The sequence below is a fragment of the Homo sapiens genome, chromosome X, assembly GCF_000001405.40.
Source record: "Homo sapiens chromosome X, GRCh38.p14 Primary Assembly".
NCBI lineage: Eukaryota > Metazoa > Chordata > Mammalia > Primates > Hominidae > Homo > Homo sapiens.
Genome location: NC_000023.11, coordinates 154,038,794 through 154,064,429, shown reverse-complemented (window position 1 = coordinate 154,064,429; position 25,636 = coordinate 154,038,794). Strand labels below are relative to the sequence as shown.

General features: G+C 47.5%; 1 protein-coding gene across 17 annotated transcripts in view, besides 1 other annotated feature; it reads left to right on the top strand.

Moving 5' to 3' along the window:
- The window catches only part of MECP2 (methyl-CpG binding protein 2), a 76,145-nt gene that overhangs the window by 33,288 nt on the left and 17,221 nt on the right, over nt 1-25,636 (top strand). For 3 of the 17 annotated variants that reach the window (NM_001369393.2, NM_001386137.1, NM_001369392.2), the window contains one exon: nt 24,527-24,638. The exons of 7 other annotated variants lie outside the window; for them this stretch is intronic. The gene's annotated coding sequence lies outside the window, so the exon portion shown is untranslated. Of the gene's footprint in view, nt 1-5,863; nt 6,032-6,587; nt 6,688-7,175; nt 7,490-24,526; nt 24,639-25,636 lie in introns of those variants that run through there. 7 more of the 17 variants (NM_001369391.2, XM_047442118.1, XM_024452383.2 and 4 more) reach the window with 7 other exon arrangements.
- Nucleotides 22,882-23,382: an enhancer, noted in NCBI's record as "H3K4me1 hESC enhancer chrX:153306499-153306999 (GRCh37/hg19 assembly coordinates)". NCBI's record gives its function as "activates a minimal SCP1, AML or CMV promoter by ChIP-STARR-seq in primed H9 embryonic stem cells {active_cell/tissue: H9 hESC(primed)}" and the evidence as "EXISTENCE:reporter gene assay evidence [ECO:0000049][PMID:30033119]".

Here is a 25,636-nt window from a genome sequence, read left to right as displayed (position 1 = left end):
TGAGGGAGTGGAGATTGGGTATAGACAACTCTCTTTAAGAAGTTTTGTTGTGATGGTGACCAGAAAAATAGGAGTGGGGTAGAGGGGGATGAGGGTGTTTTTCACGTGGGTGAATATGAGAGCATGTTTACATCCTTCTGGGAATGGCCCAGGAGAGAGGGGAGCGTGAGAAGGAGGAAATGGGGACCTGGAGGAGCAGACTCCTTGTGTGGAGGGGGGAAGCGGCATCTAGAGCTGTTGCAGGAGGTGGGCTTTGAGTAAATGCTTCCTCTTTGGTAAAGACGGGGAACGGGAACGGTAGAAGTTGCACGGACCCTTTGTTAAAGCTCAGAAGCTGAGCGAGAATTAGAGCTTAAGTTTATGGAGTAGTCAGAATAAAGTACCCCTAACTGTATTCTTGCACAGTGCAGGAAGCCAGGGGTCTGAAATCAAGATGTTGCAGGGCTCCATTCCCCCCAGAGCCTCTAGCATGGATCCTTCCTTGCCTCTTCCAGCTTTTGGTGGCTGCCTGGCAGTCCTAGACTTTCCTTGGCTTGCAGTTGCATTGCTCCATTCTCTGCTTGTGTCTTCACATGGCCTTCTCTGTGTCCCCGTATTCTTCTCTGGATGCTTGTCACTGTATTAGGCCCACCCTAAATCCAGGATGATCTCATATCAAGATCCTTCACTTAATTACAGAAGCAAAGACCTTCCAAATAAGGTCAGAGCCACAGGGTCTGGGGGTTAAGACATACACCTAACTATTCGGGGCTACCATCGAACCCCTGTAGAAGCCTGTCCATTTCCAGGATAGCAGAGCCCAAGGAAGGGCCAGAAGTCCCCCCAAAACAGTTGTTTGCATTCACCAGATTCTAAGCTATAAGCAGATGGGCAGTGGCAGTCGGTCCTAATCCATATACCATTGGCAACAATAGTTTAGTTCACTGTAGACATAATGAGATGCTTATCTTCTGCTAAGTAGTCCTCATGGTAACAGCCATATTACTCCTGGCTTTGAGTGACAGCGCTGTGCTCTTGTCTGGTGCCCATATACTTCAGCAGCTGGAAACAAGACAGTGCTCATGATTCACCGGAAAGTTTCTGTAGTTAAAATCAAGTGATCCCTTGAGTCTATTCTAATATTTGTCTGTACCATGTTCTGTGACGAGACATGGAAACAAAACATTAAGAAGTGAAAGTATCTTTGATTATGCTCTTGAAGACAACTTTTTGTTTGTTTGTTTTGTTTGAGACGGAGTTTCACTCTTGTTGCCCAGGCTGGAGTGCAATGGTGTGATCTCGGCTCACTGCAACCTCCGCATTCCCGGGTTCAAGCGATTCTCCTGCCTCAGCCTCCCAAGTAGCCAGGATTACAGGCATGCACCACCACGCCTGGCTAATTTTTTTTATTTTAGTAGAGACGGGGTTTCACCATGCTAGTCAGACTGGTCTCAAACTCCTGACCTCAGGTGATCCGCCTGCCTCTGCCTCCCAAAGTGCCGGGATTACAGGTGTGAGCCACCGTGCCTGGCCGAAGACAACTTTTTAAAGATGCATATGCTCTGGGCTGGGTGTGGTGGCTCACACCTGTAATCCCAGCACTTTGGGAGGCCAAGGCGGGCAGATCACCTGAGGTCAGGGGTTCAAGACCAGCCTGGCCAACATGGTGAAACACCGTCTCTACTAAAAGTATAAAAATTAGCCGGGTGTGGTGGCGGGTGCCTGTAATCACAGCTACTCAGGAGGCTGAGGCAGGAGAATCGCTTGAACCCCAGAGGCGGAGGTTGCAGTGAATTGAGACTGTGCCACTGCACTCCAGCCTGGGCGACAGAGTGAGACTTGGTCTCAATAAATAAAATAAAATAAAGATGCATATATGCTCTGAAGGCTGGCTACATTTTATTTTTTCTCAAACAACTTTTACAGTGGATAGTGCTGTAAAAGTTGTTTAGCTCTGGTCATTTTATCTTTTTTGTGATCTGCAAAAGGAGATCCTTTTCCTTTTCACTGCCTCTAATACCCAACTCCAATACTCCTTTGACCTCACAGGCACTTAGAATCCATCAGTGGCTCCATCTTTTCTCAGACTTCACCTCCTTCGTATCCTTATTCCTCTCCTTTGTAGCTTCAGTGCCAGTCAGACGTCGTTACTCCCTGGCACACTACCTCAGCCCTTCGGCACTTTCTTGCTTTGTTATATTCAGTCGACAAAGCCCCAGCCTCATGAAATTCAGTCATGTCTGCCCCATGCCTGCTCCGTCCTGAAGCTGAATGTGACTCCTTCATTGATTCCCCCTTTAAGTTCATGTCTACCCCAGGTAAACTTCTTGCCGCCAAGCCCACCTGCATACTGCAGTTCCCCGGTCTCTCCTAGCCCCTCCCACCCTCCTCATCAGCTGTCACACCTCCTTGCAGCTGATATCTTAGTTCCCAGAGAGCACAGAAGCAAGCTCAAGAGAGTGTCTACAGGCCAGCGTCTACTCCTTCGCTCTGCCTCCCTCATGCTGTCACGGAGCGCCTGTCCCAGGCCCTCACTCCTGTTCTAAGGCATCTCTCCAGTCCTCTACTGCACTCTCCCCCATCAGAGATTCCTCCCTCGCCTGCCCTAGAAACTTGTTGCTACTTCTCCCACCTTGACAAAAGCTGCTCCCAACCCCCCACCTGTCTAGCATCTCTGTTTTCCTTTACCAGCAAGACTCCAGTCCCTGTCTCCACACCCTCTTCAACCTTCTCCAGTTGTTCCTTTGCTGCCACAGCTCTGCCAAGCTGCTCCATGAGGTCTCCAGTGATGACCTTCATGTTGTTAAATCTGGGAGCTGCTTGTCACTTCTTTTCCCAGAGCTGTCGTCGTCAGTTAACCCCAATACCCATACGAGACAATCCTTTCCCTCCCTTGAGTCTCTGCACTGATGTGCACCTTCTCAGTGCAAACCACAGCTTTTGTCTCTTTCTAGCTGAATACATGACTGACTGTGCTTATCTTAGCTGTCACCCCTGCTGGAGCAGAAGCTCCACAGGACAGGATTGTCTCCTTGATTCACAGATGTAGCTCAAGCTCCTAGAACAGTGCCTGGTGTCTGTGGGTCCTCAGGAAGTCCTAGGTGAGTGTGTGAATGTCTGTCCTCCTCGGTCTTTTCTGTTTCGCATGTGATGTTGGAAGGCCTCAGGTTCAGGCTTTTCTTCTCCACCCTCACTCCCGAAGTGATTCCGTCCAGCCTCATGGCTCCCAAATTTATGTCTCCAGGCTGACTGGGTCACGGGAACTCCTTATCCTCCCTAGACCTTCTCTTTCCCTGGTCTTCTCCTTTCCAGTAAACAGCAACTCCAACTCCTGCTCCTCAGGCCAGAAACCTGGCGCTGGTTACCTCATTTGTTCACAAATACTGTTACTCCACCTGCAAGATGGATACAAAATCTCATGAGTTCCCCTGCCTCCATGGCCCCCACCCTGGTCCAGGTGTCCAGCTTCCCTGCCTCTGCCCTTGCCCCCTGGTTCTTTGTTTAGTCCTGCAATATTGTGCTCTTCTGTTCAGAACCCTCCAGTGGGTCCCTGCTTGCTCAGAGTCACAGCCCAACAGGATCACCTCTCTTGCCACTCTCCCACCACTCATGCACTGCGGCCTCACTGGCCTCCTGGCTCCTCCCTGGACCCTCCAAGTATGCCCCTGCCTCAAGGCCTTGACCTCTCCTCTGCCCTCTGTCCCAGGTATCACACATGTCTGCTCAAGTGTCACCTTCCCAATGTGGCCTTCCCCGAGCACACCCATGTCTGTAAGTCAGGCAGCCTGCCTCTGCCCCACCAGTTCCCCCTGCCTAGCATAGGACTTGTCACCATCTGCCACAAGCTGTGTTACTGCTTGGTTTTGTTTGTGCTCTCCCACTCCCTTCCCCTCCCTCCCTCTCCCCACCCCTATAGAATCTGAGTCCCATGAGGACAGAGATTTTTTTTTTTGCCTCTTCCTCAATATATCCCCAGTGCCTAGAATCATGCATATTTTAATTTATTGAGTGAATTAACAAATAAATTCTGCAGTGGGACATTGCTCTAAGGTTTTGTCTTATAAGAGGGACAGAAGAACATGCAGCCTGCTCTGCTGTTGGCTCCTTAGCTTCTCCATGGCTAACAGGAACAATATTGTTTATGAGATAATCAAAGCCATAGTCATGAGTTAGAAGGTACATATAAAGGCAAATATGTGGAGATTGAGTTACTTTGGCGGGGGCGGAGGGGTGTGTAGTTATCTGAAAACATGGAACAAATCAATGAGAGTCTAAATAGCACCCACATATTTGCCCCTCTTTTAAAACATACCTCCTTTATGAGTGTAGAATTTAACAGCACAGTTTCCCAGTGCAGCTTTGCGAAACAAGAGAAATGAATTTTAAAGGCTGTCAGGTGCCTTTGCAATCTGTGGCTTAGTATTTGTGTAACAACATTTGTGTTTTGCCAACAGATGTACTGCTTAAAGTACCCATGAGAATGGCCTCTGTGGTTTTCTACTTTCTCGGATGGAACCTTAGGAACTGATTATTGAGAAGAGGCTGATACTGCCCACCTCAGCTCCCAGGCAGGCTTCAGGGCCTTGGTTACTACTCCTTTGGGCCCTCACTGACCCTTGCAGACGTCTTTTGCAACCTCTGTAGCCAGAAGAGACAACTGCTTTCTGGCATGTTGCTCTTTCCCTAATGGCTTTATGAGCTTCTTGAACACCAAAGCATGTGTGACTTCCTCACGCCTTCCCCTGTATAGTATAGCACCCCTAACTGTATGTGTAAGGAGAAGGAGTGAGCAATTGATGGCGTCCCCCTGGATCTCCAAGGGAATGGGAAGGGGCAGGGTTTCTGGATTCAGTCATGTGGAATCTGGTCGTTGGTGTCTAAATGTGCCTGTTACTTGTGCCCAATGTCCAGGTTCACCAGGAGGCTTAGCCTGCTCATTTCCCTGCTAGTAGCTATATTTTGGGAGAGCATTTTTTATGCTCTAATTGAACTTTGTGGGTCTCAGCAATTTGAACAATGTTTTGTTTTTCTTCTGGTCAGGTTACAAAGGAAAGAAAAGGAATCTGGTGTTGTAGGAGGTGGTGTGTTGTGTAATTACTTGTTTTTTTTTTTTAAGTTTTTTTATATTTTTGCAACAAGGCAAGTTTTCTTTGAATAAATAATGCTGGGAGCTTATCACATAGAAGGCATATGTGTTGTACTCAGTACATTCTGAATTATCTGGGTTTATTTTTATCTCTTGAATTCACTTATAAACAATTCAAAGGCTGCTTTTTTAGCTAACAGAAATAGGAAGAGAATCTCAGAATCTGTTTTGTCATTTTTTCAATGGGTTGAGTTATAGTGATTATGCTAACTCGGTGGAAAAGCAGTGTAGTGAGTAAACCCCACATACGGCATATCATGAACATTTTGTTGCTTTTTTGGCTTCTGACCATCTTCATACCTTTTTTTGTGTTAAAAGTCTCCCCATTGTGTATATCTTAGTAAGAGGCAGGTGGACCCTAGTTTCTACCTAAGAAAACCTGAAGATGGGGTTGGGGGCCTGTGGTGTACTTCCTTCTCATGCTGTCCATGACCACTGCAGTGGCTTTGTAAGGATCCAGGACCCAGGGCCCCTCAGTGGGTGTCTTCCATTTCTCAAGATTGCCTCTTGGTTGTGAGATGACGGTTGCTGCTCTAGTCATTGCATCCACTCCTCCAGGTAGGAAGAAAGAGGTCATAGGGGAAAGGCAAAATGGCACTTGACATCTTAACTTCTAGGCCCATTCAATATTTCCATTTCCATCTTCACACCCATCATCTTGTCCTAGGGAACAAACAGCACCAGCAGCTCAGTAGCTATAACAGCAATTATTATTTCTCACACATGGGTCTGGGTCAGCTGCAAGATGGGATTCAGATCTGTTCTCAAGCCTGTCGTTCCAGGACCCAGGAGGGAGAAGCAGCTGCCAGGGGAAGTCTCTTCGTAGGCGGAGGTCAGGAGTCCAAGAGGAGTGAGCAGAGTCACAGAAGCCTCTTAAAGCCTCTTCTTCCCCCATCCCATCAACACGTGAGCAAGCCCAGAGTCAGTGGGTGGGAGGTGTGCTCCGCCCATAGTCAGTAGAACAAGAGCAAGCTTGAAAGAGAACGATGAACAGGAGTGCACTCGGCCACTGTCTCCTTAGCCATAACGTAGTCCCATGGTCTGCTGGGAAGCGGGGAATAACTCTCCTTAGCTGAGCGCAGGGTCTCATTAGTAAGGCAGATGGAGAACATGGATGTTGGGGGACAACTGGCAGTGCCTGCCACAGGGGAATGGATATATTCCCTCCCCTTGCTCTCTGGAAACTAGGGGATGGCGATGAAGCCTAGGTTTGGCCAAACCCATTCTGCCTTCAGGGACTTTGACTCTTGAGGGACAGTGAGGGATTAGTCATGGTGGTGGCAGTTGAGTCACAAAACCAGCAGTGGTGGCTAATGTCCAGTGATGACATGCAACAGTGCCCAGGGTGGGTGTCCCAACCAGCAGGTCCCTGCAGTATAACCTTGGCTGTGTTTGCAGTGGTGCAGCCTCTATTCCTGCTGCTTTTCTGAGCCTAGTTCTCTAGTTCTCTCTCCATTTCCAGATCTGCTGCCCAAGAACTCCTTTGTGATTGAATTTAACCAGAGTTGATTTCTGTTGCTTGAAACTCAGGACCTTGATGCAGTGTGCAGGGTCTGGGCAAGGTAAAAACACACTTTCATGATTTCGCCTCAAGTATAGTAGATGAGCTTAGGCTTTTTGAGCCAGGTAGCCTTGGGATTAATTCTCAGCTCTTGCACCTAGCAGGTGACCTCAGCAATCAAGTCACTTGCCCTCCTTGAGCCTCAGTGTTGCCCTCAGTTAAACATTGCTCTCGTGTGTTGCTGAGCATTCAGTGAGATTGTATATAAAGTGATCATTGTGAAGGTATTGGGACATAATTTGGGAAAGCGTCCTGGTCTAAGCTTTTGATTGGCTCTCCATCATTTGGGTAATGGGATAGTGATTTAGGAGTATCATAGCAGCTCAAGGGGCCCTTCTGGAAAGGGTATGAGGAAGGTCAGGGACAAGTCTGAAATGAATCATCCTAGGCTTAATGCCTGTGACTGGGCAGTGGGTACAATTATCTCAGGCTAGTCAGTAGTCATTTATTGTGAGAATACATGGGCAGATTTTTTAATTTCCTTCTCAGTCTAGACTTGAATGCAAACAGTTCTTATTGCTAACTTACCACTAGTCACCACTAATGAACAAAGACTATGAACAGGAAATTCATAAAAGAAGAGATACAGATGGCCAATGAAGATAGGAAAAGAGTTCTGCCTGCTGGTAATCAAAGAGATGCAAACGAGAACAAAAATGATGCCTTTTCACCTACCAAATTTGTCAAGATTAAAAAGAAAGCAAAGAGCCAGCGTCAGCTGATGTTCATACCTGCACCTGCTCGGTAGCTTGCTAATGTTCTGCCTGCTCCACACGCCAGGCCAGCCTCCACGGCGCAGCCAGGTGAGGCCTTTCCTTGTATACAGGCACGTTTGGATTCACTGTTGCATAAGTGAGACATGTGCATGCTTCACAATTCAGGAAGTGCAAACTCCAGAGTGATGCAAGGTCTGAGTGTCCCTGCTGCCCTGGTCTCCCAGCTGCCTAGGCCTCTCTTCAGGGAACGGCTGCATCCAGGGTCTTGTCTGTGTCTTTTGAGGTGTTCTATGTACACGCAGACACATCTAAACCTATTTTTATTTTCCCTGCACCTGCTTGGGCTACTGTAAGCTGTTAAATTTTTTTTTCTAGGAATTTGTCCATTTTGTCTGACTAGCATAAAGTTGTTCATGTTATAGTTTATACATTTGCAACATCTGTAATTATGTCTGCTTTTTCATTCCTAGTGTTTGTTGTTTACTTGTACCTTCTCCCGTTTTTCCTTGTCTTGGTAAAAGCTCATTAGGTTCATTGGTCTTACAAGAAGCAGACATGTAGGCATTATTGCCCTGTATTACTCTGTGTCTCTTTTCTAGTTCATTAAATTCTGCTTTTGCTTTTATCTTTATTATTTTTTCTATGGTCTTAGAGTACATTCTCTGTGTTTTGTTGTTGTTGTTGTTGTTGTTTGTTTTTTGTTTTGAGAGAGAGAGTCTTGCTCTGTCGCCCAGGCTGGAGTGCAGTAGTGCAATCTCAGCTCACTGCAACCTCCACCTCCTGGGTTCAAGTGATTCTCGTGCCTCAACCTCCCGAGTAGCTGAGATTTACAGGCATTTGCCCCACACCCGGCAAATTTTTTGTATTTTTAGTAGAGATGGGGTTTTGGCATGTTGACCAGGCGGGTCTCGAACTGCTGACGCCAGGTGCTCCACCCGCCTTGGCCTCCCAAAGTGCTGGGATTACAGGCATGAGCCACCACGCCTGGCCCTAACTTCTTAAGTTATAAATTTGGTTCATTGATTTTTCTACCCTTTTTTCAAATGTAAACATTTAAGGCTAACCCTCTGGAACTACTTCAACTGTATCTAGCAAGTTCTGATAGTATTGTCACTTTAAGTTAGCCCAAAGATATTTTAAATTTTCTTTGTTTCTTCCTTTGACTCACATATTATTTTAAAATGTGTTTTTCAATTTCCAAGCACATGGCTTTGGGTTTGTTTTTTTTTTTTCCTAGTTGCTCTAGAAAAAAAAATTGACTGCATGAGGTGGCTCATGCCTGTAATCCCAGCACTTTGGGAGGCCGAGGCGGGCAGATCACCTGAGGTCAGGAGTTCGAGACCAGCCTGGCCAACATGCCAAAACCTCGTCTCTACTAAAAATACAAAATTAGCCGGGCATGGTGGCACACACCTGTAGTTCCAGCTACTCGGGAGGCTGAGGCAGGAGAATCACTTGAACCGGGAGGCAGTGGTCACAGTGAGCCAAGATTGTGCCAGTGTACTCCAGCCTGGGCAACAAGAGCAATACTCCGTCTCAAAAAAAAAAAAGAAAAAAAGAAAAAATCAACTTCTAACTAAATGGCACTGTGATCAAAGAACTTGGTCTGTGTGACACCAGTTCTTGCAGTTGGTTGAGAAGTGCTCCATGACACATTATCCACAACCAGTGGACAGAATATGTCACCACCAAGCATGGGTGCAGGATTCTACATATATTCATTACCTCTGTCTTATCCGTTTGTTGTGAAAGTATTTTCTCTTCTTACTGTCATTTTGTTTACTTGATTTATCAACTGATGGAATACGTGTTAAAACCTACTGTGGTGATGGACACATCAGTTTCTCCACAGAGTTTGGTCATTTTCATTTTATTATTTATTTTGAGGCCACATTTTCAGTTTTAGATACAGTTTCACATTCCTGGTGTATTGAACCCTTTGGTATTATGAAGCGACCATACTAATATGTTATTTTTTTTTAAATTATTATTTATTTTATTTATTTTTCTTTCTTTTTTTTTTTTTTGAGACAGGGTCTCCCTCTGTCACCCAGTCTGGAGTGCAGTGGTGCAATCTCAGCTCACTGCAACCTCCGCCTCCTGGGCTCAAGTGGTCCTCCCACCTCAGCCTCCTGAGTAGCTGGGATTACAGGCTTGCACCAGCGCGCCTGGCTAAGTTTTTGTATTTTTAGTAGAGACAGGGTTTTGCCATGTTGCCCAGACTGGTCTCAAACTCCTGGGCTCAAGCAGTTCACCAGCCTTGGCCTCTAAAAGTGTTGGGATTACAGGTGTGAGCCACCACGCCCGGCCATCCCAGTTTTTTATTTTCCTCCTTTCTGTGTCTTTATGCATCAGTGAGGTGGAGCTTTTGAAAATGTCAGATAGCTAGATTTTTTTTTTTTGAGACGGAGTTTTGCTCTTGTTGCCCAGGCTGGAGTGCAATGGCGTGATCTCGGCTCACTGCAACCTCCACCTCCCAGGTTCAAAACAATTCTCCTGCCGCAGCCTCCTGAGTAGCTGGGACTACAGGCACGTGCCACCACACCCGGCTAATTTTGTATTTTTAGTAGAGATGTGGTTTCACCATGTTGGCCAGGCTGGTCTCAAACTCCTCACCTCAGCTGATCACCCGCCTCAGCCTCCCAAAGTGTTGGAATTACAGACGTGAGCCACCATGCCCAGCTGATAGCTAGATTTTTTTTTTTTTTTTTTTTTTGAGACGGAGTCTTGCTCTGTCGCCCAGGCTGGAGTGCGGTGGCGCGATCTCGGCTCACTGCAAGCTCCGCCCCCCGGGTTCATGCCATTCTCCTGCTTCAGCCTCCAGAGTAGCTGGGACTACAGGTGCCCGCCACCACGCGTGGCTGATTTTTTTTTTTTTTTTTTTTTTGTATTTTTAGTAGAGACGGGGTTTCACCGTGTCAGCCAGGATGGTCTCGATCTCCTGACCTCGTGATCCGCCCGCCTCAGCCTCCCAAAGTGCTGGGATTACAGGCGTGAGCCACCGCACCCGGCCTCGAGATTTTTTAAAAAATCCATTGTCTGTTTCGTCCTTTAACATCTATTTGATTTCTGATGTATTTAGATTCATTTATAGCATATTTGTGCATTCTATTTTTCCATATTTTCTGTTCTTTTAAATTTTCCTTCTCCTTTCTTGCCTTCTCTTAGACTTTTAAAAAAATTGTAGTAAAATACACATCACCTAAAATTTACCATTTTTAAATGTACAGTTCAGTGGCATTAAATACAAATTGGAGGCCAGGCATGGTGGCTCATGCCTGGAATCCCAGCACTTTGAGAGGCTGAGGTGGGAGGATTGCTTGAACCTGGAGGTCGAGGTTGCAGTGAGGTGTGATCACACTACTGCTATAGCCCAGGCAACAGAGTGAGAACCTATCTAAAAAAACAAACAAACAAACAAACAAACAGATTGGCATCACACAGTGTGTGTGCTGCTGTGCTGTGCTGTTATCATTTAACATTAAAACATAAACATCAGCACTGTTATGGACTGAATGTTTGTGTCCCCCAAAATTCCAGTGTTGAAGCTCAAACCTCCAATGTGATGTTATTTGGAGATGGGGTATTTGAGAGGTGGTTAGGTTTAGATGAAATCAGGAGGGAGGGTGGGTTTCGCATGATGAGATTAGTGTCCTTATAACAAGAGACAGCAGAGAGCTTGCTTTCTCCACCATGTGAGTATGCAATGAGAAGGCAGCCATCTCCAAGTCAGAAAGAGAGCCCTCACCAGGGGCTGAATGTGCTGACACCTTGATCTTGGACTTCTAGCCTCCAGAACTGTGAGAAATTTCAGTTGAATAGGCCCCCCAGTCTGTACTATTTTGTTATAGCTTGAGCAGACTAATACACCCATGTTATGAAAAGCTATAAACATCCCTTTAAAGGCCACCTAACGCGTCGTATTACCTCATGCATCTTCTCTGCTGAGCTTTCCAAAAGAGTGGCTTAGGCTGGGCCTGGTGGCTCATGCCTGTAATCCCAGCACTTTGGGAGGCCAAGGCAGGTGGATCACCTGAGGTCAGGAGTTCAAGACCAGCCTGACCAACATGGAGAAATCCCGTCCCTACTAAAAATACAAAATTAGCTGGGCGTGGTGGCGCATGCCTGTAATCCCAGCTACTTGGGAGGCTGAGCCAGGAGAATCACTTGAACCTGGGAGATGGAGGGTGCAGTGAGCCGAGATCGTGCCATTGCATTCCAGCCCGGCCAACAAGAGCGAAACTCCATCTCAAAAAAAAAGAGTGGCTGGCCGGGCGCAGTGGCTCACGCCTGTAATCCCCGCACTGTGGGAGGCCGAGGTGGGTGGATCACGAGGTCAGGAGTTCAAAACCAGCCTGGCCGAGATGGTGAAACCCCGTCTCTACTAAAAATAGAAAAACTAGCCAGGCGCAGTGGCAGGCGCCTGTAATCCCAGCTACTTGGGTGGCTGAGGCAGGAGAATCGCTTGAACCTGGGGGGCGGAGGTTGCAGTGAGCCAAGATGGTGCCACTGCACTCCAGCCTGGGTGACACAGTGAGACCCCGTCTCAAAAAAAAAAAAAAAAAAAAAAAAAGTGGCGTATGTTCCCGGTCTCCACCTCTCATTCGCCAGCCCCTGTGACCAAACCCCTGGGATTAGATCTCCATCGGGTCCCTCCCCTCACCCTAACCTCACATGCAGTGGTTCCTGAGAAGCTGCTGTTTATCTGATCACGGGATCCAGCAGGATCTGAGGGCTCATTCACTGAATCTGTACTACCCAACAAGGCAGGCTTGTCCTTACCCACACTTTTCAGGTGAAAACTTAATCAGATTCAAGCGTTTATCTTAGTGGCCTCTTCGTGGTGTGTGATTTCCTTCTTGCAGCTCTTTACTGGCTAAAACTCTTCACTGGGAGTTAAACCAGGTGTGGTCCTTGACCCTCATCATTTTGTCCCATCTCCTATGCTGGGCTCTGTATCCTTGTCTCCAAGCAGTCTCGTGTGACAGGGAAGTTACCTATTATTGTATGGTCCCCTCTTCTTGTCACCTCTGGTGTGGCACTTGTTCCATTTCTTGTTCAATGAATGTGATTTGTGAATGTGCCACATCTGTGGGAGGAAGGCAGTTCGCAGCAAGAGTTGTAGTTCCCTTGCTTTGCCCTGAGGGCCAGGACTTTACACTAGATTTTTTTGTTGCATTCCTGCACTCATAAAGTACACGTAAACTTAGAGGTGGTGTGTTAAATGCTAGAACTTAAAACTGAGTTCAGCTAGGCTCAAGTGCCCCACAATTTTTGTCCCACCAGACAATTTCATGAATATCTACAGATTGTTCCCTCAATATGCCTCAATATTGAGGCATATTGATTTGGGGAGCACAGACAAGTCAAGGTTGATGTGCATCCGCTGAACATGATCTTAAGTTGTTGAAGTAGGTATTATTAATGAACGAACGTCTATTTTAGCTCCAAGAGCCCCTGGTCTTCCAGAAGAGACTCCCAATGATCTTCCAGAAGCAGCTGGGCTTCTTTTGGTCCTCCCCCACCCAGGTGCAGTCCCGTTCTCCCTGCCTGGGTGAGTTTGATTCCTCTGCCGTGGAATAGGCTAGGCTGCTACCTCTTGAGCCTCTTCCACCAGGCCATCCATTAGGTGGCGACAGAGAGCACTAAAAGGAACTACTATGGAAATAAAACTTGTTTTGCTTCTTGGGGGGAAAAAAAAAGAAAAAGGCTTGTGGGGCGTGTGTGCATTTTAGTCAGATTTTACTGTGCAAAACATTTGAGAGATTTCTGCCCTCTTTCTCCCTTCCATTCTTCTCAACCCACTGGGCGCCCTACCACCCCTGTCTCCTTCAAGATAAGGTAGATCAGAAGACCAAATAGACAAATGCCATGTCCACTGTTTTCTGTCACAGTTGATAGCCATACCAGTCACCCAAGCTGGAAACCCAACAGGCCCCTGCCCTTCACTGCCCACATCCAAGGGAGCCACCAAGTCCCACAAATTGTTCCTTTAACTGTTTGTCCCTCTTTTGTCTTCTGTCATCCCTTCTACCGCTGTCCTGGTTCAATCCCTCATCTTGCTCTGGGACTCCCATGATAACTTATGATCTTTCCTCCACCTCTCTATCTTCCACACAATCCCTATCATCAATCTCATTCCCCTGCTTTAAACCCAAGAGTGGCACCCTGTGTTTGAGTGACATCAGGGCCCCTCATGTGGCTCCTGCTTCTCTTTGTGGCCCCTTCTGTTGCTGCTGCTTTTCTTATGGACATAGCCCTCAGCAGTCCAGGACTGCTTGTAGTTCCTCCCAGGTACCATGTTTCTTGCACTCCTGGCCTTTGTCATTGGCTCCCCTGCCCAAGTCCCCTTCTCTTCTCCTTTCCTTCCCCTGTGGCCTTGCCTTGTCGTGCTTATCCTTGAAGACCCTGTCAGGTATCTCTTCCCCAAAGAGCCCTGCCTAACCACCGCCCCCCTCCCCCCCGCGACACACACACCTGGGTTAGGCCCTGCCTCTCCACGCCTGTGCCTCCTGCCAAGTCCTCAGAGGTCTCTGATCCCATGTGCCTCCAGGCATGGCATAGGGGGACTGTGACACAGCCTCTCGGCCCACAGACCCCTGATTGTGGGCTTGCTCACTGCCCCAGTCAGTCCTCTTATTGAGGATTCCGTGCCAGTTCCTGACTCCAGCACACACACGCATGTAGGCCGCCCTCCTAGTGCCTGGCTCCTTCCCTGTCTCTTCTGCCACTCATTCCCATGGTCGTATCCTGGAGTTGGTCATCTCTGGAACTCCACCCACGGAGTTCTAACTTAGCTCTGCCTATGATGAGGACTTACTGTCTTCCCAGCTTGCAGTGTCAACCACTGTTTGATGCCCCTGGGACTCCATTGGTCTTCCCTCCTCTTGTGAACTGTGCCCATCACCAGACGAACTTGTTTTAGAATTTACCATCGTAACTGAGCTCCCTTCAGCGCATACCTCCTTGGCTCCTGCTCAGTCTCTGTTTCTCCTTTTAGCCAAACTCTCTAAGAGTTCTCTCCACTCATGGGCCCTCTTCCTTGCCTGCTGCTCCTTGCTCAGCTTGCTCCATGAACACTTGCTTTTCCACATTCCATGAAATAATCTTAACAGTCATCAGTGGCTGTCACTCCTTCTCAGCCCTTTCCTTGTGTCTCTTCTGGTACCTCATACTCTCCAGGTGGCCATCTCACCTCACATCTTGAACCCTCTGGGTTTGGGAGAATTCTCACCTCACGAGTTGATGGGAGGCCTGGCGACCTCTGATTGTAGTCACTGCAAATGCCAGATGCTTATTTGCCTAGCTTCCCTTTCGGTCAGGGCAGCAGTTGGCAAACGGTATCTCAAGGGCCAAGTCCGGCCCACTGCCTGTTTTCGTAAATGAAGCTTTACCAGGACCCAGTTCCACCCCGTCCTTTGTGCATTGTCCAAGACTGCTCTCCTGTACAACAGCAGGTGGGCTGGTTGTGACAGATACTGTCTGGCCCACAAGGTGGAAAATACTATCTGGCCCCTTACAGAAAGAAATTACCTGAGTTCTACACGAGGGTGTAGGTATGTACCCTGGCCTCTGCCAGTCAGACTCACATGCTAGGAGGAGCAGGGCCAGGCAGGAGAGCCGTGTCTCCTGGCATTGGGGCTGCAGGAAAGACGAGCTCCTAGGCCACAGTGCCAGTGGCCAGTGCTGCTGCCTTGCAGGGTCGCACAGGCAGTGCTGGCTGTTTGGACTGGCTTGGCAGAAGGATTTGAAGTATTGTTCCTAGCCAACTGGACTCAAACCTGTTCCTCCAACCCTCTAGGGATTCTCTTATCACCCAGTAGCCTTTTCCCCCTAGTTTTAAAAATTGCAGTAAAATACACAAAAGATAAAATGTACTGCCTTAACCATTTTTAAGTGTACAATTCTGTGGTATTGAGCACATTTATATTGTGCAACCATCACCACATGCATCTTCAATAGCTTTTCATCAGTCCTTGTCTGCATAAATCAGCTAGAGTTGGTTTCTATTGATTGCCACCAATAATCTTGACAGATATGTCTGATCTTCCTTCTCTGCACTGACTCCTCTTTCTCTGTCTCCTCTGCTGATTCTTTCTCCTCATCACAACTCCAAATAGCAGGGGGAGGGTTGTTTACACTTATATTCAGCACGCCCTCACGCACTCGCCTGGCTCTTCAGACCTCTCCCCTGAACTCCAGATTCATACATCCAGCTGCCCTTTAGGCCTCTAGAAAGCTAAATACCTCAGTATCAAAAACATGAGAAACGGAAGCCAGAGTCCTGGATCTCTCGCCCTTTCGCTGTCCCGGTGCCCATGCCCTTCAGGGATGGCACCTAGACCAGCTCCCTGCATCCCTGCCTAGACTCTGCAGTAGTCTCACGTGGCAGACCCGGAGGTCACTCTCCTCTCTGGATGCCCTGCGGACACTCCGGTTAGCCTCAGCTGCAAGAGCCTCCTCACCCAAGGTCACGCCATTTCCAGGACAGCACCCTGGTGACTGAGCGAGGTAAGGGTACAAGGCCCTTATAGGGCCTTCTCTTTGACTTCTTCCCACCTCCCTTTATGGATGTCAGTTCCTGATGAACATCTTACACCTCAAACCGTGACCCAACATCTGCTTCTGCAGAGCCCCCCTGTGGCATCTTGTGCCCTCCTGCCCCACTCCCTCTACTCTATATCTTCCCATAGTTAGAATGGGCTTTTTTTTTTTTTTTTTGAGATAAGGTCTCCCTTTGTCACCCAGGCTGGAATGCAATGGCACAGTCACGACTCACTGCAGCCTCAACCTCCTGGGCTCAAGCAGTCCTCCCACCTCAGCCTCCCAAGTAGCTGAGACTACAGGTATGCACCACCACACCTGGCTAATTTTTATATTTTTTGTAGAGACTGGGGTCTCCCTATGTTGCCCGGGCTGGTCTCGAACTCCCAGGCTCAAGCAATCCTCCCGCCTTGGCCTCCCAAAATGCAGGATTACAGGCGTGTACCAGTGTGCCCAGCCTCAGATGGGCTCTTTGAAAAATGTTTATTAGATCAGGTTACTCCCTTGAGAAAAACCCTCTCAGAATAAAACCCGAAGTCCATTACTTGAAAGCAGAGCCAGCTTCATGGGCCTTTGTAACTGCCCATGGGCTTGCTGGAACCCAGGCTTGGTTTAATACTCTACTCTCACCATCTCAAAATTCTTAATTTTTGAACAAGAGGCCCTGCATTTTCATTTTGCACCAGGCTCCACAAATTGTGTAACTGGGCCTGCCTCAGCAGCCACATGGAACATGATCCCTCCTTGCCTATTTGAGCTCATTCTCTACCATTCTCTCCCTTGCTCACCTGGCTCCCACTGCTCTTGCTCTTCCTGGAACTTGCCATAATGTTGCTAGAGTCAGAGCCTTGGCTCTTGCTGCTCCTCATTGGCTGGACCCCTCTTTACTTGACCTGCTCCCTCACCACTCACTTCCTTCAGATCTGTGTTCAGATTTCGTCTTCTCAGAGAGGCTTTTGGCCCCTGTCCATCTCTCTGAATTTACCTCTGACCTCTCCCCCACCACCACTGCGCTAAGCTGCCTCAGAACTTTGTAGACATTCTGTCTGGTCTTCTGATGTTTCCCCCTTGGAAGAATCCCAAGGTGCCTGAAGAATGCTTTCTTTATCCTTGAAGTTGAGTAGGTTGACTAGAGTCTGGCTTGCTATTGAGCATTCTTTATCAAATTGTCCTGGGAACATGGTGTATTCTTTCAGTCTGCAGATGTAGTCGTTGCTGTTTCAGGTCAGCTCTCTTATGGATCTTTGACAGCATCTTCTGTTCCATTTGTTGAGTTCTGTACTTCAGGGACACAAATTCCTCATGTTGGATTGTCTTTGTCTCTCTTCCAATGCTATTAGCTTTGCCGTAATTGGTTTAGCTTTTGTCTTTTTCATCTGCATTCACTTTGTCTAATTTGATTTTCAGCTATGTATATTCTGTTTCTGGCTGTTTTTCAATGTATTTATTAGTTTCATAATGATGTGTTTTGGTCTGCAGTTTGTTTCTCTAGGTTGGAAATTTGTCTTTTCATCTTATTCTGTTTTATCATCCCATCTTTGAACTCTTTTATTGGGAACATGTTCTTATGAAGTTGTGGGGAATTTTTTTCCCTTCCTTGTGTATTCTCTTCTTGGTGGGAGACTTTGCCTTTCTCGTGCCATCTCCCTCCCTGGGCCTCTTTTTTTTCTTCTGGCCATAATATGTTTGCCTAGTTACCATGTCACTTCTTTTCGTCTTGGCTCAGGCTTGGATGGCTCTGCATAGTCGTTCTGTTTGCTTTGAGACAGTGGAGGAATTCTTGGCTCTCTCTTCCCAGTTTCTTGGCATCTTCTCTTGCTGTTTTCCCCTCTGAGCTATCGCGTGCAGGCTTGTTATCTTGTATCCGGAGAGAATTTGCACGCTGGAGGGAGCTGCAGCCATGTAGTCTTCAGCCCTATCTGGATTCTTCTCTTTGTTCTAAGAACTGTGTTGGATGTCTTACTAAGGCTCACTCTAGCTGCACGAGGGATGTGTGTGCCATTTCCATGGGGATAGGGGGCACCTCAGTCTCTGGGTGGTTCCATAATCTGTGTATACCTAAGAGCAGTTGCTTCCCACAGAGCTGGGCTGGCTCACTGGGCACTTTGCCATTTCTCCTGCACCTCCCAGCTGGAGTTTCTGGGTCTAAAAGGAAAAAGTGAAGGACTCCCACTTGGTTGCTTCTCTCCAGCTTACTGACTGCAAATTCCCAGGGCGTTGCCCGCTCCCTAGGGTGGTTTCTGGGGGACGGGGCAGGAGCCTGGCTTTGCTGCTGCTTTGTCCTCTGGAGTCTTTTCTCAGACTGCTTTGAATTACACCCCTTTCCTTTGTGTGCTGAAATCTTCCCTTCACACTCTCCTTCCCTGCCTTTCTTTTGTGTCTTATCTTACTAGGACTGGAAGAGGGCAGTTGTGCAGGAGGTCTGCATCTAATTCCCTAATCCATGTGAGAGTGCTCCTGTTGTGTGCTTTGTGACATGATGGTGAGAAATACTCCCTAGAGCAGTGGCTACCAGAAGGAAGCCATCCCCCCCCCTGCACACACACACACACACACACACACACACACACACACACACACACACTCCTTCTGGCTGTCCTCAGATGCCTATTCTAGGTAAATGTCAGATTCCAAAGAAAATCCAGTTGAGATCTTTTTTCTTTTTTTGAGACGAGAGTCTTGCTGTGTTGCCCAGGCTGGAGTGCAGTGGCACAATCTCGGCTCACTGTAACCTCCGCCTCCTGGGTTCAAGCGATTCTCCTGCCTCAGCCTCCCAAGTAGCTGGGACTACAGGCGCGCACCACCACACCAGGCTAAAATTTTTTTGTATTTTTAGTAGAGACAGGGTTTCACTGTGTTGGCCAGGCTGGTCTCGAACTCCTGACCTCGTGTTCTGCCCGCCTCAGCCTCCCAGAGTGCTGGGATTACAGGCTTGAGCCATCGCGCCCGGCCTCCAGTTGGGATCTTGACTGGAATGACTGGTGTTCAATCATTATAGTTTCCACCTAATTTGTATTTGTACACAGGACAGTTACTAATTTGTTGGTACTTGTTTGATCCCCAGTCCCTAGAGTTGTTTATGGGGTGGAGCTTCAGTCCCTGCTGCTTCCCCTGTGGCAGCAGCTGGAGTCAGGGTGGGGACCCAGGGTGCTGCTGGCAGATTCTTGAGACAGGTAGAATCTCCTCTATATTGGTGTCTCTCTCTGTCCCAGCAGTGCCCAGGAAAACCTGGCCAGCCTGTCACTGACCTCTCCACCTAGGGCACTGGTGGTTCAGGTCCTTCTATTTGCCACCGGCAAACCGTACTTCTGCCAGTCTGGCTCTTAGGCCCAGTTTCTCTGATCTTGCAGATTTTCTTGGGCTCTGCTACGGAATCCTCATACCTCCGGCAGGTCCCTCCTTTGCCCATGTGTTTAACTGTGGTGGAATCGTGTGAGAGCTGCTTCTCTCGCATGGATCCCAGCCACACCACATTCTACAGCGGTTCCTCTGAAGGCATTGATAGAGATATTTCCTCCTGTTTTGCATTTCGTTGGTCATTTCAGTAGAATCAGGGTGAAATAAACATGGGGGCTCAGATGTCAGCATTACGAACCAAGTACGTCAGGCAGGCTGATGTGGACTGACCTACACTAGTGAGACGCAAGATGACGAAAACAAGGGCACTCACTCCAAGTTACTGATGAGATGTTTGGATCAAATGAGCCAGTCCTTAAGCAGAGTTCTCTAGTAAAAGAGATCTCCTTTCTGCCCTTTCTTGTTCCCCAAAATGTGTTGCCTTCATGGTGAAAATTTATTTTGGCAGATTTTCTCTTCTTTGATAAAAGCAGCCAACACTTTGTTAAAAGTCTGTGAAACTTATTTACATGAAGTATGTAAAGGTAAGAAAAAAACATTATCAACAAGAAATGGAGAAAGCCAGCAGCTGAGGACAGAAAAGTCATGCACAGTGTCAGTGTCTATGGAAACAGGCCACTTGGACCTTGAGGACTAGGTATTTGGAATTGGAGGTGAGCTTGGCCTGGTGAGTCTCTAACCACTTGTGTGTAGGATCAGTGTGAGAACCCTGCTAGAATATAGTGGCAGAGATGCAAGGGGAAATCATTGGAGAAGTTACCAGGGAATGATGAGCTAATCTGAAAAAAATACATGTTTCTAAGTTGGGCGTGGTAGCTCATCTGTAGTCCCAGCTACTTGAGAGCCTGAGGCAGGAGGATCGCTTGAGCCCAGCCTGGGCAGCACAGCGAGACCCTATCTCCCTAAAAAAAACTTTTTCGTTGTTTAGTTTTGGGATTTTTTTTTTTCCTGGTCTTTTTTCCCCCTTTTTGTGAATAACGGGATCTCACTATGTTGCCCAGGCAGATCTCGAACTCCTGGGCCCAAGCAATCCTCCTGCCTCTGCCTTCCTAAGATTACAGGTATGAGCCACTGTGTTAAGCAAAAAAACTTTTTTAAATGAAAATCATTTTTTAAAAGACAGGCTTTCCAGGGGAGGGTATTATTCCACTTATATGAAGTGTCAACAGTAGGCAGATTTGTGGAGACAAATAGATTAGTGGTTACCAGGGGCTGAGAGGAGTGGGAGTGGGGAGCAACTGCTTAATGGGTAAAGGGTTGTCTTTGGAACTAGAGAGTAGTGATGGTCGCATGACATTGTGAATGTACTAAATGCTATTAATGATAAATTTTATGTTATGTGTATTTTACCACAATTAAAAAAAAAAGATCAAATGTCCTCAGAATAGCCAACAACCTTCCACTTGGCTAAATGCCTACTCATTAAACTTCTTGAACTAAATTCCTTTCTGATTGTCATGGTTATTGTGTCCTGGGCTTCAGAGTTTCACATTCAGGTTGGCTTGGTCCAGTCTGTCATGTATCACTATAGGTCCCCACATTGGCCTCTTCCTCAGACGGACAGCCCATCTATCTGCCGGGGCTCTGTGCCACAGCCAGATAGACTTGCTCTGAGACAGCTGTGTGGGCTCTGAGCACTGGCCAGGCATCACAAAACCTATCTTTATGATTTAGAATAATTGGTGGTCAGCTGCTGTTTTAATGTTGTTGTTTTTTTTAATTTAGATATAATTCACATACCATGAAATTTACTCATTTAAAGTGTACAATTCATTCTTCAGTATAATTCATAGGCTCACAGAAAAAATTGTTTAAAAATAAAATGTGCAATTCAGTGTCTTTTAGTACATTCACAGAGTTGTGCAACCATCGCCTCTGTGTCATTCCAGAACACTTTCAGCACCCAAAAGAAACCCCAGACACAGGAGCAGTCACCTCTTATTACCCGCAGCCCCTGGCAACAACTCATCCACTTCCTGTCTCTATGGATTTGCCTATTCTGGACATTTCCTATAAATGGAATTATGCACTATTTGGCCTTTTGTGTCTGGCCTCTTTCACTGAGCGTAATGTCCTCAAGGTTCATCTGCATTGTAGCATGTGTCAGAATTTCTTTCCTTTTTGAGGCTGAATGATATTATATCCTATAGATAATGAGGTTTTGATTATCCACCCATCCCTTGGGAATGCATATTTGGGTTGCCCCCACCATTTGGCTGTTGTAAACTGTGCTGCCATGAACACTGGTGTACGGATATCTGTTTGGTTACTGGTTTTGGTTTTTTGTTTGTTTGTTTTGGTTTTTTGAGACAAGGTCTTGCTCTGTCGCCCAGGCTGGATTACAGTGGCACGATCTCTGCTCACTGCAACCTCCACCTCCCAGGTTCAAGCAATTCTCCTGCCTCAGTCTCCTGAGTAGCTGGGACTACAGGTAGCACTCACCACCATGCCCGGCTAAATTTTTTTGTATTTTTAGTAGAGACAAGGTTTCGCCATATTGGCCAGGCTGGTCTCAAACTCCTGACCTCAGGTGATCCACCCACCTCAGCCTCCCAAAGTGCTGGGATTACAGACGTGAGCCACCGCACCCGGCATAGTTGTGGCTTTTTGAGAGTGTATGGCTAGGAGTAAAATTGCCAGGTCATATGGTAACTCCATGTTTAACATTTGAGAAACTGCCAAACTGTTCTCCACAGCAGGAATTTTTTAACCTGTATGTGGTGGGCTTGTGTTTCGGTTTTCATTTTACACATCTATAAAGATGAGATTTGCTGTATGGCACTGGTTGCCTGTATTTGGGGAGGGTTCTGCTTTTGGTTGGCAAGAACTGCATTTTATTTAAGCTTAGCAAAACATAACTGGTTTCTCGCATCTTCTCAAAAGTGGAGGATTAAGAAATGGACTGCGAATTCAGAGCAGGGCAGCTGAACCTCAGGCTCCACCCTTGTAGCCTTCAAGCTGAACCTCATTCTCTCTTGCTCCCTGGAGACCACTGAGACACTCTGCCTGTGCCAGTTTGATTTCTCACATTTTTAAAGGGCCAAAGCTTGTGTCTCAAAGTGCTATAGCCTTTATTGATTCATGCAGAGAAGCCTCCTTGATTCCGTAATTCTGCAGCTAATACTGGAAGTAGAAAGAATTGGAAACACCATCTGGATGACACTTTAGGGTGGAAGCAGCCAGTACAAGGGGGGGCTCATTATTTCCTCTGGTCCCAGACTGTTCACCTGGAGCTGTAGCCACCACCCTGCCCTTAGGTTAACTGCCTCGAGTGGTAGTTTAGCTCTTTGTGCTGTGCCGAGGGATAACTGGAAGTGAAAGGTGCTGAGAAATGCCATCTCCTGAAAGTGGCGAGCATGAGTGAATTTACGAAAGGTTGGGATATTGCTGGGGCTCTGGAAGTTTCTCTGGAGCTCACTCCAGGGGACAGGGAGGGGGCTGGATTCCAATTCAAGTGAAAAATACCTTTCATCTGCCTTGTTCACCTGGCTTTTTTGCCTTTTTGTAAAATCTGAAAACCTCAGGGATTGAGTAGTCTTTCCTTAACTGCAGTTGCCTGTCTGGCCACACCTGCCAGCTGTTGCTTGTACCCCTGTAATTTGCACGGCCTTCCGGGCCTTTCTCACAAGATCACTGCAGGTCACATTCATGAGGAAAATGCAGGCAGTTCCTGCCATCAGACCCCTCAGGATGTCATGGTTTGGCCTGAAAACAAGATTCCTGCAACTCTAATTTTCCTTTGCTAGATCAAATGAAGGATTTGATCTAATGTTTGCATTCTAGCAGCAAAATCATTGAATATTTTATTTCTTAAGAGCCTTACTTCATATTTTGTAGGTATTTTAAGATTTTGTAAAGGCCTTTCTGCTTCAACGTGTGATGTGTGCATTCTTAGAAAAAGATCTTGTGTTCTGTAAATCACACAATAAAAACATGAGTTCGTGCAGGAAAAACTGGGGCGGGGTGGATCACTCCAAACTTGTGTGGTGTGGTAACTGGAGCTCACTGATGAAACCATGAACAGTTCTGGCTGAAAGAACCCCACAGTACACTGAGGTCTGTTGGCATCGCCGCCAGCACCGCCCCGGTCCCTTTGTGCGCGCCACCACACCTGGCTAATTTTTTATTTTTAGTAGAGAGGGGGTTTCACCATGTTGGTCAGGATGGCCTCGAACTGACCTCGTGATCCGCCCACCTCAGCCTCCCAAAGTGCTGGGATTACAGGTGTGAGCCTCCGTGCCCAGCCTTCAGCTTTTTTTCTTAATGTCTTTGTGTAATATGAAGGCATTCTCTTTAATTGTTAAAAAGCTTGCCTACCACTGCTTCAAAATATTACTGTCAGTTGGCATAGCTTCTGATTATATTGATGTCATCTCCCTTCTTTTAAACATGTTACCATATTGGCACTGTATTTCCCCTAGCCCATTGATCACTTGAGAGTTAGTCATAGTCCTCGTGCTGTTTCACTCCTAAACGTTTAAGCATGCCTTTCCTAAGAGCAGACAGTACAGTTAAGACACTCAGGAAGTTTAGCAATGAGCTAACACAGAACCTTACATTTCTCCACATACCCCATAAATGCCTTTTTTAGAGCCTTTGAGCCTGGAATGCAGAGTCCAGGACTGTGTGTTGTATTCGATTGTGTCATCCCTTCAGTCTCCTTTATCAGAAATGTTCCCCCACCCCCTTGTTTTCTCTCATCATCTTGAGTCCAGACCGTGGTTGCATGGCACGCCCTCTCTGGACTCTTCCTGCTGTCTCCTCACGGTAAGCTTCAGTCTCCTACTCGTGATGCTGGTTCATCTCAGCAGCACTGAGGGGCCTGAGCTCAGTTTGGTCGTGTGTTAAGGTGGTGCCTGCCAGATTTCTCCACAGAAAAGGGCCCCGTACTTTTATTTGCTCTTCAGCCTGTGTATTCCTTCCTTTCTTGCCAGCTTGTGGGTGGCTTCTCTAGCAGCTTCTGTAAGATACTCAGTTTGGCAGTTGTAGTTGTTTCAGCAGGAGAGGTGTCTGCATACCTGACCACCACATGGCTAGAAGTCGATCCATCCTCTGGCGTAACCATCCTCCATGCTACTGTCCCTGGGGCACTGAGGCCCTCCTCAGTGACTTCCTCCACCTCATCTTCCGCCATCTCCAAGCCACCAGTGTCCAACGGACTACTGATATGTCCCAAACTCATCATTTGTTTATTCACCAATTCAGAGCCCACCTTTTTTTCAGCACTGAGCTAGCCTCTCCTTGCTAGAAGCTTACGGTCGAAGGTCTCCAGCCATCAGAAGAAGCACGTGGAGCGCTGCGTCCGTGTTGTGGTTATTCATCCAGCATGTGTTGAGTAAGGGTTGCACCTGTGCCTGGCATTATGCATTGAGCGGGGAGATGGGGGTTGGCACGCACAGTGGGGTGTTCTAAGTACACTGAGGGCTCGGGTGCCCTGGCTCATAGAGCAGGGAGGGAGGCAGGAGCAGGGAAGGTGTCTCAGAAGTGCCATCTTTTTTTTTTTTTTTTTGGGAAGTGGAATCTTGTTCTATCGCCTGGTCTGGAGTGCAATGGCACTATCTCAACTCACTGCAGCCTCCGCCTCCCAGGTTCAAGCGATTCTCATGCCTCAGTCCCCGAGTAGCTGGGACCACAGGCGCACACCACCACACCCGGCAAATATTTTGTATTTTTAGTAGAGGCGGAGTTTTGCCATGTTGGCCAGGCTGGTCTTAAACTCCTGGCCTCAAGTGATCTGCTCACCTCGGCCTCCTAAGGTGTTGGGATTACAGGCATGAGCCACTGCGCCCGGTCTAGAAGTGCCATCCTAACTGAACCTGAAAGATGAAAGTTCTCCAGATGAACCTGAAAGTTCTCCAAATGAAAAGGTGGGAGGGGGTGACAGGGTTAGGCCCAGAGCCTCTGGTGACACAGGGTGGGCATCATTGGTCACTTTTTCCTCGAGGGAGGGGCGTCACACGGGTGATAGGGTGGGAGCTATAACCATGTTGATAGTGCCGCCTCTGCCCATCTGGCCTGGCATGCCCTGAGCCCTCTGTCCCACCTGTGGAACTCATAAGCCCTGACAGCCCACTCACTCCTGATTCATTATCCACACCCCTGTGCTTCCGCTGTGCCTGGAGCAAGCTTTCTTCAGGGGGAAGGGAGGCTGGAACTATGTTGTAGTTACCTATTTGTCCTCCCTTCCAAACTGTGAGTTCTTGGAGGTGGAAGGATGCTGCAGGATCTGGCTCAGGACGAAGGCAGTTGGTGAACAGACACGTGTGTTTTTGACTCACGGTGATCTCAGACAAGTTCCTCTGTCTAGTCGAACTTCTTTTTTTCCATCTGTAA